The following is a 14,897-nucleotide window of genomic DNA, read 5'->3' on the forward strand; positions in this document are numbered from 1 at the left end:
GAGGACAGCGAGCCGGGGGTACAGACCACACGGAGGACAGCGAGCAGCGGGGACAGACCCCACGGAGGACAGTGAGCAGCGGGGACAGACCCCGCGGAGGACAGCGAGCCGAGGGGACAGACCCCACGCAGGACAGCAAGCAGCAGGGAAAGACCCCACGGAGGACAGCGAGCCAGGGGGACAGACCCCATGGAGGACAGCGAGCAGCGGGCACAGACCCCACGGAGGACAGCGAGCCAGGTGGACAGACCCCATGGAGGACAGCGAGCCAGGGGACACAGGCCCCACGGAGGACAATTAGCAGCGGGGACAGACCCCACGGAGGACAGCGAGCCAGGGAGACAGACCCCACAGAGGACAGCGAGCCAGGGGGCAGAGACTCCACAGAGGACAGCGAGCCGGGGGGCACGGACCCCACGGAGGACAGTGAGCAGCGGGCACAGACCCCACAGAGGACAGTGAGCAGCAGGGATAGACCCCACCGAGGACAGCGAGTCGGGCACAGACCCCGCAGAGGACAGCGAGTCGGGGGTACAGACCCCACGGAGGACAGCGAGCCAGGGGGACAGACCCCACAGAGGACAGTGAGCAGCGGGGACAGACCCCACAGAGGACAGTGAGCCAGGGGGCACAGACCCCACAGAGGACAGCGAGCGAGGAGCACAGACCCCACAGAGGACAGCGAGCTGGGGAGACAGATCCCACAGAGGACAGTGAGCAGCGGGGACAGACCCCACAGAGGACAGCAAGCCCGGGGGACAGACCCCACAGTGGACAGCAAGCCACGGGGACAGACCCCACAGAGGACAGCAAGCCAGGGGGACAGACCCCACAGAGGACAGCGAGCCACGGGGACAGACCCCATGTAGGACAGTGAGCCAGGGAGACAGACCCCACAGAGGACAGTGAGCTGGGGAGACAGATCCCATGGAGGACAGCAAGCCGGGGGGACAGACCGCACAGAGGACAGTGAGCAGCGGGGACAGACCCCACCGAGGACAGCCAGCTGGGGGCACAGACCCCACAGAGGACAGTGAGCAGCGGGGACAGACCCCACAGAGGACAGCAAGCCAGGGGGACAGACCCCACAGAGGACAGCAAGCCAGGGGGACAGACCCCACAGAGGACAGCAAGCCAGGGGGACAGACCCCACAGAGGACAGTGAGCTGGGGGCACAGATCCCATGGAGGACAGCAAGCCAGGGGGACAGACCGCACAGAGGACAGTGAGCAGCCGGGACAGACCCCACCGAGGACAGCGAGCCGGGGGGCACAGACCCCACGGAGGACAGTGAGGAGCGGGGACAGACCCCACAGAGGACAGCGAGCCGGGGGGCACAGACCACACAGAGGACAGCGAGCCGGGGGGACAGACCCCATGGAGGATAGCAAGCCAGGGGGTCAGACTGCCCAGAGGACATTGAGCAGTGTGGATAGACCCCACCAAGGACAGTGAGCCAGGGGCCACAGACCCCACGGAGGACAGCAAGCCAGGGGGACAGAACCCACAGAGGACAGCGAGCCGTGGGGACAGAACCCATGTAGGACAGAGAGCCAGGGAGACAGACCCCACGGAGGACAGTGAGCCGGGGGGCACAGACCCTACAGAGGACAGAGAGCCGGGGAGACAGACCCCACGGAGGACAGTGAGCAGCTGGGACAGACCCCACAGAGGACAGCGAGCCGGGGGGAGAGACACCATGGAGGACAGCGAGCCGGGGAGACAGATCCCACAGAGAACAGTGAGCCAGGGGTCACAGATCCCACAGAGGACAGCGAGCGAGTGGCACAGACCCCACAGAGGACAGCGAGCCAGGGTCACAGACCCCACAGAGGACAGTGAGCTGGGGGCACAGATCCCATGGAGGACAGCAAGCCGGGGGGACAGACCGCACAGAGGACAGTGAGCAGCCGGGACAGACCCCACCGAGGACAGCGAGCCGGAGGGCACAGACCCCACGGAGGACAGTGAGGAGCGGGGACAGACCCCACAGAGGACAGCGAGCCGGGGGGCACAGACCACACAGAGGACAGCGAGCCGGGGGGACAGACCCCATGGAGGATAGCAAGCCAGGGGGTCAGACTGCCCAGAGGACAGTGAGCAGTGGGGATAGACCCCACCAAGGACAGTGAGCCGGGGGGCACAGACCCCACGGAGGACAGCGAGCCAGGGGGACAGACCCCACAGAGGACAGTGAGCCAGGGGGACAGAACCCACAGAGGACAGCAAGCCAGGGGGACAGACCCCACAGAGGACAGCGAGCCGCGGGGACAGACCCCACGGAGGACAGCGAGCCGCGGGGACAGACCCCATGGAGGACAGCGAGCCGGGGGACACAGACCCTACAGAGAACAGAGAGCCGGGGAGACAGACCCCATGGAGAACAGTGAGCAGCGGGGACAGACCCCACAGAGGACAGCGAGCCGGGGGGAGAGACACCATGGAGGACAGCGAGCCAGGGAGACAGATCCCACAGAGGACAGCGAGCCAGGGGGCACAGACCCCACAGAGGACAGCGAGTCAGGGGGCACAGACCCCACAGAGGACAGAGAGCCGGGGAGACAGACCCCACAGAGGACAGCGAGCCAGGGGGCACAGACCCCATAGAGGACAGCGAGCCAGGGGGCACAGACCCCACAGAGGACAGTGAGCAGCGGGGACAGACCCCACAGAGGACAGCAAGCTGGGGTCACAGACCCCACAGAGGACAGCGAGCCGGCAAGACAGACCCCATGGAGGACAGCAAGCCGGGGGGACAGACCGCACAGAGGACAGTGAGCAGCGGGGACAGACCCCACCGAGGACAGTGAGCTGGGGGGCACAGACCCCACAGAGGACAGCCAGCCGGGGGGACAGACCCCACGGAGGACAGTGAGCCGGGGGGACAGACCCCACAGAGGACAGTGAGCAGCGGGGACAGACCCCACAGAGGACAGCGAGCGAGGGTTACAGACACCACAGAGGACAGTGAGCAGTGGGGACAGACCCCACAGAGGACAGTGAGCCGGGGGGCACAGACCCCACAGAGGACAGACAGCGAGCGAGGGGCACAGACCCCACAGAGGACAGTGAGCAGTGGGGATAGACCCCACCGAGGACAGCGAGCCGGGGGGACAGACCCCACAGAGGACAGACAGTGAGCGAGGGGCACAGACCCCGCGGAGGACAGCAAGCAAGGGGCATGGACCCCATGGAGGACAGCGAGCAGGGGACACGGACGTCACATCAGCCAGAGAAGACTCCAGGACAGCTCCTTCCCCTCAGGCCCACGCTCAGCCTCGATACCACCGTGGCCTGTAAGCACGTTCATATACCACACCACACAATCCACATCACACACCATATACCACACAGACCACGTACCACACACACCACACACCACACAACACAGACCACACTGACCACACACCGCATACCACATAAAACACACAACACACACCAAACAGAAACCACAACACACAAAACACAACACACACACAAGACACCACACACACCATACACCACACGCCACACACCACACAATACATACCACATATATCATACAACACAGACCACCCACAACACATACCACAGACACACAACACAAACCACAAAACAGAAACCACACAACACACATCATACAGATTACACACCACACCACACGAAACACACGAGACCACACAATCCACAACACACACCACCCACACACCACACAATACACAAAACAGATCACACACCACACAACTCCATGCACACCACACATGCACCACACACCACACAAACCACACGCACACACCTCACGCCACACATATGCAACAGAAGCAAAACACACACACCAAACACACCACACACTGCACGTGCACCACGTGACAAGTACCAGACACCAACCACAAACGCATCACTCTCCCCATACCACACAGGGACCACACAATACACACAATACACATCACGCACACAGAATACACACCACACACAGCACACCACACAAACCACACACAGAGCACACACACTTGCACTACACACTGCACACCACACACACCAAACATCACACCACATACTGCACACATACCACACCCCCAAAATACCACACATACACCAAACCACACACCACACACACACCAAACCACACACCACCGAGCACACCCATTTGCACTACACACCGCATACCACACACAGCACACAAACCACACACACCACATACCGCACACATACAACCCCCACAGAATACCACACACAACACACAATGCTCACACTCCCACACACACCACACAATGCACACACACTCCCACACACAATTCAAGTGAAAGGAGCATCTGTGAGTCATGACACTGAAGACTTGTAATGTTGGGTTCAGGTCCCCTTAGCACGACTAAGGCTGGATGGGCCCCCCTGTGTTATGACAACCGGACCGATGCCCGGGGAACTGGCTGCCCAGCACCGGGGCCTGCAGCGCAATCCTGTGTGGTGGACCCCAGGCGCCTCCTGTCTGCCCCCATCTGTGGATGTGGAGACAGCCCCCTTCTCAGACTGGGACTCCATCCTTCTCTGCACCACCACACATGAGAACCAGCCCCTGCCACAGACCCCAGAGACCACAGGTGCCCATCCCACCCTATCAGGTCTTTAAGATGCCATGACCTCCTCAGTCTTTCCTGTTTCCATCTGTGTATATGACACCAGGCCCCCAGAGTCTGTCCCGGTCCCATCCCTGTCTTTATGACACCAGGCCCCTAGAGTCTGTCCTGGTCCCCGTCCTATCTTTATGACTCCGTGGTCCCCCGAGTCTGTCCTGGTCCCCATCCTGTCTTTACGACACCAGGCCCCCAGAGTCTGTCCCGGTCCCATCCCTGTCTTTATGACACCAGGCCCCTAGAGTCTGTCCAGGTCCCATCCCTGTCTTTATGACACCATGGTCCCCTGAGTCTGTCTCGGTCCCCGTCCTGTCTTTATGACACCGTGGTCCCCCGAGTCTGTCCCGGTCCCCATCCTGTCTTTATGACACCGTGGTCCCCTGAGTCTGTCCAGGTCCCCATCCTGTCTTTATGACACCAGGCCCCCAGAGTCTGTCCTGGTCCCCGTCCTGTCTTTATGACACCGTGGTCCCCTGAGTCTGTCCAGGTCCCTGTCCTGTCTTTATGACACCAGGCCCCTAGAGTCTGTCCTGGTCCCCGTCCTATCTTTATGACACCGTGGTCCCCCGGGTCTGTCCCGGTCCTGTCCCAGGCCTGTCTTTATGACACCGTGGTCCCCTGAGTCTGTCCAGGTCCCTGTCATGTCTTTATGACACCAGGCCCCTAGAGTCTGTCCTGGTCCCCGTCCTATCTTTATGACACCGTGGTCCCCCGGGTCTGTCCCGGTCCTGTCCCAGGCCTGTCTTTATGACACCAGGCCCCCAGAGTCTGTCCTGGTCCCATCCCTGTCTTTATGACACCAGATCCCCAGAGTCTGTCCTGGTCCCCATCCTGTCTTTATGACACCAGGCCCCTAGAGTCTGTCCAGGTCCCAACCCTGTCTTTATGACACCAGGCCCCTAGAGTCTGTCCTGGTCCCCATCCTGTCTTTATGACACCGTGGTCCCCCAAGTCTGTCCAGGTCCCCGTCCTGTCTTTATGACACCGTGGTCCCTGAATCTATCCTGGTCCAAGTCCCCATCCTGTCTTTATGACACCATGGTCCCACAGGTCTGTCCTCTTCATCCCTGTCCTTCCTTTATGACACTGTGGTCCCTGAGTCTGTCCTCACCGTCCCTGCCCTTATGACACTCTGGCACCCCTGAGCATATCCTCACTCTCCTCCAGCCCCCCAAACGTGTCCTCGTCCCCCTCTGGGCCTGCTCAGCCACGCTTTTTCCATGGGGACCCTCTGGAAGCCACCCCACCCTGGTGAAACCTTCCATTCCTCTACTCCCCACAGTGGAAACGGCCTTTTCTGAGGCCCCTCATAAGACAAATCCTCACAGCCTGAGTCCCGGACAGTCTTGCTGTGTTGCCTTTACTGCTTGACTCCTTCAGGAGTGCAGGGATTGCATCTGCCTTTTGGGAACATGGGAAAGTAAGGCCCCACTTTCCTTACCGCCAGAACCCACAGTTCCTTCTCACGCCTATCACATCACAGGTCCAGGCTGAAGAGCAAGAGAAAAGCAGCGTCGCTCTCGCTAACTCCAGACCAAAGTGAGAAGTGGGTGGGCTGCCCTGGTCGACACGGTAGCCATGGAACCCAGGGCGCCTCACAAAGCCATGGCAGTTGGGAGGATGAGGGGACAAGGGGGCATGAGGAGGGAGGAAAGCGTGAGATGGACTCGGGTGGAGGTGAAATAATGCATGCAGTGGTCCATTTCCAAGACAAGGTGGCTTGATCCGGTTTAGGTCAGCAAACTACAAAAAAACAGGACGTACTAGGCCCCTGCTTGGATGGGCCCCAATGCCTGCTTGTCGGCCTCCCCCTCCCTGCCTTCCCACCTGCTTAGCCGCCCTCACCTGAACCAAAGTAGTCTAAGATGAAAGTTTACTAGCCTGCAAAAGAGCTCGCTTTGTCTGTTCTTATCAGCCTGCCCAGCTACTCAGCTCTTAAGTCAAATACCTGAAAAGCCCCTGAGCTGACTAGGATTGCAACGCGTTGTGGTCCGCAACAAAATGCAGCAAGACAACCCTAAAAAAAAACACCTAAAACCCCTACAACAACCAACAGGCGACGTCCAGGAAGACTGCGACCCCAGAGTACTCAGCCTAGGAGGAACCGGGGGAGGGACCTGCGCAGCTGGTTCTGAGCAAAGACTTTGGCCACCGTGGCTCTCACTGACTTCAGCACGTGTTTTCGTAGTCTCGCGAGTGCAGGGAGTCTCAGCATTTTAGCAAGTTGTTTCACTGGCCATCCTCTGAGCTCAGGAATTCGGTCACTGGCTTAACTCGGAGCACAGCTTCACCACGACCCATGACAAGGAAGGGTTTCTCCTGAGAAGGGCCAGCAAGTGTGTTTAAGGACATCCTCCCTCCTGTCCCTGCAGCCCTCCTCCCTCAGTACTCAAGGCATTTCCAGTTCGTGTCGGTTGGGGGGGGTCCCCAAGGACTCCTATCTGAATGCCTCCGATGCGGGCCAGCTGCTGACGCTGACTTTGGGGGTGAGGACGGGAAGCTGGACAGGGATGCACCCTTTCTGTTAGCAGGGGTCCCTCCAAGACCACCACCGTGAGGGAGTCGTCCACAGTCAGGGGCCCTCTTGCCGGCTGAAGCCTGCTGGGTCTCACTCTGGTGCCTGGAGCCTGCAGTGGCCAGAGGTCTGCTGCCCATGGACATCTTGTCTGTCAGGGGCACACACGAGGTACACAAGTAAGAGGAACAGCTGGGCTGGGGCGGGTGCCCAGGACGACATGGGGGGAAGGGGCAGGGAAGCCTACCTGACAGAGCTCTCCAGGACTCGGGGGCCCCTGCGGGGCAGCTGCTCTGGCCAGAGAGGCTGAGACGGTGCTGCTGGACCACTAAGGGTGACGGCAGGTCCCCCAGGACAAACGCCCCGTCTTGTAGCCTGGAGTGGCTTGTGAGGCCTCTTCCAAAGGTTTTCTTGCCAAACTCAGGACAACTGGCTTTTATTCACCAATGTCTGCAGTTAACGTCCTGACACCTGCAGGTATTGTGGCCCTGATGCTGTCTAAAGATTGAGGCAAACACCCTCAAACACACCTGCACACCCTCCTCCACCACCTGCACACCCAGTCTCAGTCCCCATGTGCTGCTGTAACAAAATACCTGAGACGGAGTAATTTTAAAGAACAGAAACTTATTTCTCCCCATTCTGGAGGCTGGAAGTCCAAGATTCAGGAGCCAGCAGGTCTGGTGTCTGGCGAGGGGGGCGCTCAGCTTCCAAGGTGGTACCTTTCTGCTGCATCCTACGGAGGGGACAGACACTGTGTTCTCACGTGGAGGCGCTGGGAGGGTGAGAGGTCTCTGCTGACTGAGGCCTGGTCTGCAAGGACCTTCATCCCCTTCACGGCCTCACCACTCCTAACACCATCACACTGGCCATTCGGTTATGACGCTTAAATTTTGGTGGAGACAAAAACCACAGCACACCCACACCCCGACCCCTCACACCAAACACATCATGCACTCGCACACCCACACACCCACCTGCACCCCATACACACTCACACACCCAATACCTGTACCTCATACACATCTGCACACCCCCATACATGCACCTTCATACGCACCTGCATAGACCCCATAGCTTCACCCCCATACACACCTGCACACCCCCACACCCGCACCCCATACACACCTGCACACACACCTGCACCCCATCCGAACCTGCACACCCCCACACCTGCACCCCATCCGAACCTGCACACCCCCACACCTGCAGCCCATGCACGCACTCCCTATCCAGACTGAGGTCTTGGAGGAGACCCCTTTGCCCCTCCTCTGCCTCCCAATTCAGAACAGGAAGCTGTGAGCTCGGGGAGGGGTCAGGCACCTAAAAGTTGACAAGTGCCCAAGGTTAACAGATGGTGGGGGAGGCTCAGCCACACTCAGAGGACCTAGGGTAGTTCTGGGCGACTGGGCATCTGCCTCAGTTTCCCCACCTGCAACAAAGCCCTGAGGGCACCACGGGGTGAGCGGATCTTGGATTCTGCAGGCCCCAGAACCACCAAAGGGTGGGAGGGGCTGGACAGAGGTTGGAAGTGTGGCCCAAGCCAAGCCCAGAGGATGCCACCTCCCACACAGCAGGTCCCACCACCCTCCTGCTTCCTGGCTCAGACAAGCACAGGCTTGCAGGGCCCTGGCCGGCGATGCACAGCTGCTGGCCCTCACGCCCCACAATCTGCAAGTGGTCCCTGTCACTGCCGCCCTCTGCTCCCAGCTATCTCCCCCTCCCCTACCCAGGTTCTGCCCACATCAAGCGGGGAGCAGGGTAGGGGGTACCGGTAGCTGTTCCCTGCCTGCACAGGGAGAGCTGGAGCTGCACACCCAGCCGCTCCCCAGGCTGAGACACGGCCATGTCTGTGGGGCCTCCCTGGAAAGCTCTTGTGTCCTGTCAGACACAGGCGTGGCAGCCTGTTCCCCTCTGCCCCTCCTCTGGCCTCAACGTGAGATGGCTGCCACAGCAGCAGTCACTGTGTGACCACAAAGGAAGCATCCAGGGACCAGAGAGAAGCTGAGCTCAGGGAAGGCCCCAGCCCCTGCTCCCTCCACCGTGGCTGCTCTGTGCCCTGGCATGCGGGCTTGGGGACACCCAAAGGTGGTGTACCCACAAAAGAGGGTGGAGGGGCTCACGGGCTGCTAGCAAGAGCAGAGGCTGCCGGAATCCCGGGGAGGCCACGCATGACCTACCTGGACAGCTCCAGCCACCACTAGGGCCCTCTAAGTCCTGCAGGATCAGCTGACCAGGGTGGCCCCGTATCTGCGCAGCCCAAGGGGCAGCGGGAGGAGCCCTGGACTCTCCAGCCCACTCCCATCTCCTGACCCGAGGGGAGCCTCTCGGCCTGTAGGTCACCCATAGGCCTCTTCAAGATGTCCCCTCATTGCACACTCACTAAGACTGAAGCCACGTGGTGGCTGCTGCCCAGTGCCCCTCTCTGCTGGGACCCTGTGGACCAACAATGCCGCCCAGAGGGATAGCCAGTCTCGGGGACCTCGGGGAGTGAGGGGTGCAGGAACAAGGGCCAGGCCACCAGGAAGCCGGGCAGGGTGGCTGCCTCCCGCAGCTCAGCACTGCCTGTGGGCTGCACCTGACCTCCACCCAGAAACTGCTTCAGAGCGCTACGAGCCCAGAGGGACGGCCGCCCACGCCTGCCGCACCATGAGGGCACAGCTGTGTCATCTCGATGCAGGCTGCTTTGTGCTGCTGTAAAAGAATGCCTGAGACTGGGTAACCTGAAAGACACGAGGCTTATTTGGCTCATGGTCCTGGGGCTGCAAAGTTTAAGACGGGGCCCCAGCATGTGGCGAGGGCTCCTCCACTCACAGTGGATGTGGAGCGAGGTGTTCAGAGATCGGATGGTGGGAGGACACCTGACTCCACAGCAACCTGCTGTCAGGAGCCACGTTGTTCCTGAGCCCAAGCTCTCCAAGGCTGTACCCTGGGGACCCGGCTGTGGGAAGTGTCTGTCCTGTTAAGGGAATCCTGGCCTCTGGAGCCCCAGTGGAAGCTGGGTGCGGTACACAGCCCCACTGAGCTTGGGACTGCAGATGCTGCCTTTCCCAGCCTCCCTGCAGCAAGGGCGTCCTCCCAGAGTTGGGGGTGGGGAGCAGAGCCTGCAGGCAGCCACTGGAACGGTGCACTTGGTGGCATCCAGGGACAGGATGGCAGGTGCAGCTGTGCAGACAAGCGTGGAGTCTGCTTCCCAGCCAGCACGGAGGGTGCAGCCCAGGCTCTGCCCCTCGTCTGAGCCCTGTTCACAAACTCTTCCTGTGAGTCAGCTACTGTGGCTTCTTCATGCTCTGTCCAGAGGCAATGGCTTTGCTCCCACTTCCACCAGGGCCCAGGAAGGACCTGAGAATGCTCACCCATGCCACACAGAGCACCGGCCACCCTGCTCACCCAGCGTCAATGGCCTGCGAGGGTCAGCCCTGTGGTCCCGTGGTGTGAGGGCCCAGGCACTGCATACTGCCCCCGGGGCCTCTTCAGAGTCACAAATGCCGCTGCCCCCAGGACGACTGAGCTCCCATCCATGCCTGGCCTCTGGAAGGTGTGGCTTCTTCACTTTCAAGTTTCCATGGTCACAGAGCAGGGCACCCTGCAGGAGGTGCTGGTGGGCGCACAGGTGCACCTGATGTCACTGTGGGCACGACAGCTGGGCCAGAGGACCACCACCAGCTGGTAGGACACAGCACCCTCGCGTGCTGGGAGCAGTTGGGTGCACTTTGGCGCTCTGTGTCTTGTGACTGGAAGCTGTGTTTATGGTATTTTGCAAATACTAACATAAATGGGCACTCAGTAAACACCCAGTTAGAAAACGTTTTATGGACACGGAACGCTCCACTGTAACGGGCAGGCAGAACACACTCCTTTCCCAGGCTCATCAATTAAACAGAAAACAGGGGAGCTCTCCTCACCCCAGCCTGGCCCTGTGCTCCCCAATGGCCCCTGCGAGGCCCCTACCATGGCCTGCCTGGGAGACACAAACTATGACAGGAACACACTGGACTGATACAGAATGAGGCCAGACACACCCATGCCTGTGCCTCCCAAGAGCGACCCCAGGACAGTGGGGCAGACAGAGGTGTCTACACTGGCAGAAACAAGGGCTGGAGCCACACGTGATGCTCGGACACAAACGGCACGCAGCTCTGCAGCCTGGCCACACACCCTTCGCGTATGACTCCACTCCTCAGGGTTCACGGGGCTGTGTACAGAGACTCTCTCTGCTGACACGATGGCCACACGCCCTTCGTGTATGACTCCACTCCTCAGGGTTCACGGGGCTGTGTACAGAGACTCTCTCTGCTGACACGATGGCCATATGGCCTTCGCGTATGACTCCACTCCTCAGGGTTCGTGGGGCTTGGAGACTCTGCTGACATGATACCACAGACAATTCATTACCTCCCCGCGGCTGCTTCCCGCATGCCAAAGGGGACAGGATCAAAGTCCTTGTCTGATGACAAAAACTCTACACGTGCAAAATAAAACTAAAAAAATAAAATAAAAGAGCTGAAGGTGGTCTAGAGTTAGGTCTTGGCAGAGGCCGCAGGCTCTGGAGACTGAAGAAACTCATAGGGGTCGTGGGTGACGTCTGGCTGCTCCCCGACACTCAGGCGAGAAGGGCTTCCTGCAATTTTCAGAACACAGGACTTCAACACACAGGACAGACCCGCAGCACACGTGGGGCTCCTGGAGCCCAAGGTCTGCTTCCTGACCTACCGCCAGGGCTCAGGGACTCCCAGGACACAGGGGCACCTCTCACTCCCTGCCAAGGAGAGCTGTGTGTAGAGACCCTGGAGCCAGGGGTCGCCCTGACCCAGCACACAGCACGGATGCTGCTTCTGAAGGAGAGAACGCTCCTTGGCCAGGAGTCCCTCAGACACAGCCCAGACCTCAGGGCAGTTCCCAAAGTCATACTGGGATATCGGGGGCCTCAGACTTTGACCTACGGCCCTCCAAAGCCTGCTCCATGCACTGTTAACACCCTGATCACAAGGTCAATGGAATCGAAAATACCGGCCTTTTTGCAGATGGTTGCAGCTAAACCTCTGCAGCTGAAGAACTGCCAAGATTCACTCTGCCGACAGAGTGATCCAGTGTTTACAAGTGGGAACAAAACCCCACCCACCAAAACCACTCCAGGACACATGGCCAAGGAAGCCATGCTCTCTCCCCAGCAGAAACACTGGAACCAGGGTCCACAGAGGGCACAGGGGTGGACAGAACTGGGGACGGTATCTGGCAGAAAGCCTGTAACCCAGCGTGCGGCCAGGCCAGCATCCCAGCTCCGCTCCGGCTCTGCACCGAGGCCGCGACCCAAGGACATCTGTGGAAACCGACCTCCACAACAGCACCGCTGCCCATGCAGCCTCCAGCCTTCCCACAACTACAATGCTGCCCACTACCTCGTCTAGACGTCACACTGACTGTGCTGGGGTCTCTGGGGATGCGGCGTGGGTGGGGGCATCTCACCCAGGTGGTGCTGGTCCCTCTCGGAGGCGTTGGACAGGGAGCTGAGGTTGGACGACGGCCGAGAGCCGCCGCGCTCCGCCTGTGCTTCGTGCAGGTCCTGCAGGAGCTTCGTCGTCTCATCCAAGTTCAAATGGCTGTCGTCAGGGTCCAGCTCCTTCTTCACCTTCCCTGTGTAAACAGGACATGACCCCACGTCGGCTGAGCTCAGCCGGCCCGTCTACCCTAAGGGCAGGAGCACACTGCCCATCCAGACAGGCCTCTCTGCTCAGGACAATAATTGCTCTGGAAACTGAGTGGACGAGCTCACAGCAGACAGGTGGACAGGCCTGGAGGACAGACATTACCCTTAGCAGTGAGTGAAGGGAAGGCAGACACCCAGCGTCCTTTGCTCAAGCAAAGCATCAGACAAGACCTAGCACCGCACAGACCACGTCATGGCACGCACAGACACCGTGGAGGGATGTGGCCACAACCCAGGATGGGCCTGGTGTGGGCTCCTGTCCTCAACACACAAAGGCCAGACAGCTGGATGGAGGGTGCAAGAGGCCGGCAGACCCTGGTACCCGCCCAGTTCACTGTGGAGCAGGTTCCAGGCCACAGCCATCGGGGACCCAGCACGTCCAGCTGAGAGGTGGAAAGGATGAGCTCCCAGCCCACTCCTGAACTGTGCACCAGACATGCCAAGAACCTGCACACAGGTCTGTGGTCACCTGAGCCCCACCAGCCAGGGGACCAGCTTCACCCTCCCCGGGGTGACTCTGGGCTTACCCTGACAATGCCTGGGGAAGGTCCCACAGAGTCTAAGCCACTTCTCAAACTCAGAACAAAGGCCGCCAGGCCTCAAAGGTGTGTAAGCAGACCTATCACCCAACGGCATCAACTACAAACTCCACCTGGTATCCAGTAAATGATTCCAACACACACGAAGGAGCAGGAAAACACAGCCCCAAACTAGGAGAGACTCAAAGCTGATATCAGGGAATCAGTAGACAAAGTGTAGTAACAGTGACTACAGACATGCCCTGTAGAACTGGGTAATGAGCAGAGGCTAGAACAGCTGGGAGAACTTAAAGACAGGAAGATGAGGGAAAGTTTGGAACTACCTAGAGACTTCCTGCATGGCTATGATTCAAATGCTGATAGTGATATGGACAGTGAAATCCAGGCTGAGGTGGTCTCAGATGGAGACGAGGACCCCATTGGGAATGGGGGCAAAGGTCACTCTTGCTATTCTTTAGGAGAGACTGACAGCACTGTGACCCTGCTCTAGAAATCTGTGGAACTTTGAACTTGAGAGAGATGATTTAGGGCACCTGGTGGAAGAAATTTCTAAGCACTAAAGCATTCAAGAGGTGACTTGGCTGCTTCTAAAAGCCTATGCTCACTTGCACAAACAGAAAAATGACCTGAAACTGGAACTTATATTTAAAAGGGAAGCAGAGAGTAAAAGTTTGGAAAATTTGTACCCCTGCCATGTGGTAGAAAAGAAAAACCCATTTTCTGGGGAGGAATTCAAGAAGGCTGCAGACATTTGCGTAAGTAAAGAGGAGCCAAATGTTAATACCTCAGGGACATTTCAAAGACCTTTGCCCAGACACTGCCATCACAGGCCTGGGGGTCTAGGAGGGAAAAGGGCCCCACTACTCTGTGAAGCACTGGGACATGTGCCATGGTGCTCTGTGTCCCAGCCATGGCTAAAAGGGGCCAAGGTACAGGGCTAAAAGGGTCGATGCTTCAGAGGGTGCAAGCCCCAAGCCCTGGAAGCTTCCACATGGTGTTGGGTATGTGGGTAGGCAGAAGGCAAGAGCTGAGGTTTGGCAGCCTCCACCTAGATTTCAGAGGATGTATGGAAAAGCCAGGGTGTCCAGGCAGAAGTCTGCTGCAGGGGCAGGCCCTTCATGGAGAACCTCTGCTAGGGCAGTGCAGAGGGGAAATGTGAGGTTGGAGCCCTCACCCCACACAGAGTACCCACTGGGGCACTGCCTAGTGGAGCTGTGAGAAAAGGGCCACCGTCCTCCAGACCTCAGAATGGTAGATCCGACAGCTTGCACCATGCCATCTGGAAAAGCTGCAGGCACTCAACACCAGCCAGGGAAAGCAGCCACAGAGGCTGTACCCTGCAGAGCCACAAGGGCGGGGCTGCCCAAGGCCGTGGGAGCCCATCCCTTGCATCAGTGTAGCCTGGATGTGAGACAAGGAATCAAAGAAGATTCTTTCGGGGCCTCAAGATGTAATGACTGCCCTGCTGGGTTTCAGATTTGTAGCCTGCTGCCCCTTTGTTTTGGCTGATTTCTCCCTCTTGGGAT

General features: G+C 59.1%; 2 protein-coding genes across 43 annotated transcripts in view; both read right to left on the bottom strand.

The window, feature by feature from the left end:
* The window catches only part of ZDHHC11 (zDHHC palmitoyltransferase 11), a 64,959-nt gene extending 57,218 nt beyond the window's left edge, over positions 1-7,741 (bottom strand). For 25 of the 27 annotated variants that reach the window (XR_007058638.1, XR_007058637.1, XR_007058640.1 and 22 more), the window contains exon 1: positions 6,052-6,158. The gene's annotated coding sequence lies outside the window, so the exon portion shown is untranslated. Of the gene's footprint in view, positions 1-6,051; positions 6,159-6,727; positions 7,277-7,372 lie in introns of those variants that run through there. The other 2 variants (XM_047417747.1, XM_047417746.1) reach the window with 2 other exon arrangements.
* Positions 7,742-10,918: 3,177 nt separating this feature from the next.
* The window catches only part of BRD9 (bromodomain containing 9), a 29,061-nt gene continuing 25,082 nt past the window's right edge, over positions 10,919-14,897 (bottom strand). For 15 of the 16 annotated variants that reach the window (NR_184210.1, NR_184208.1, NM_001375879.1 and 12 more), the window contains 2 exons: positions 12,592-12,759; positions 10,919-11,746 (listed from right to left, as the gene is read on the bottom strand). Coding sequence is in view for 13 of the 16 variants with exons in the window: in NM_001375879.1 (NP_001362808.1) it covers positions 11,646-11,746; positions 12,592-12,759 (269 nt within the window). In the remaining 3 variants the exon portion in view is untranslated. Of the gene's footprint in view, positions 11,747-12,591; positions 12,760-14,897 lie in introns of those variants that run through there. The other variant, XM_047417600.1, reaches the window with a different exon arrangement.

Source organism: Homo sapiens, chromosome 5 (genome assembly GCF_000001405.40).
Source record: "Homo sapiens chromosome 5, GRCh38.p14 Primary Assembly".
Taxonomy (NCBI): Eukaryota; Metazoa; Chordata; class Mammalia; order Primates; family Hominidae; genus Homo; species Homo sapiens.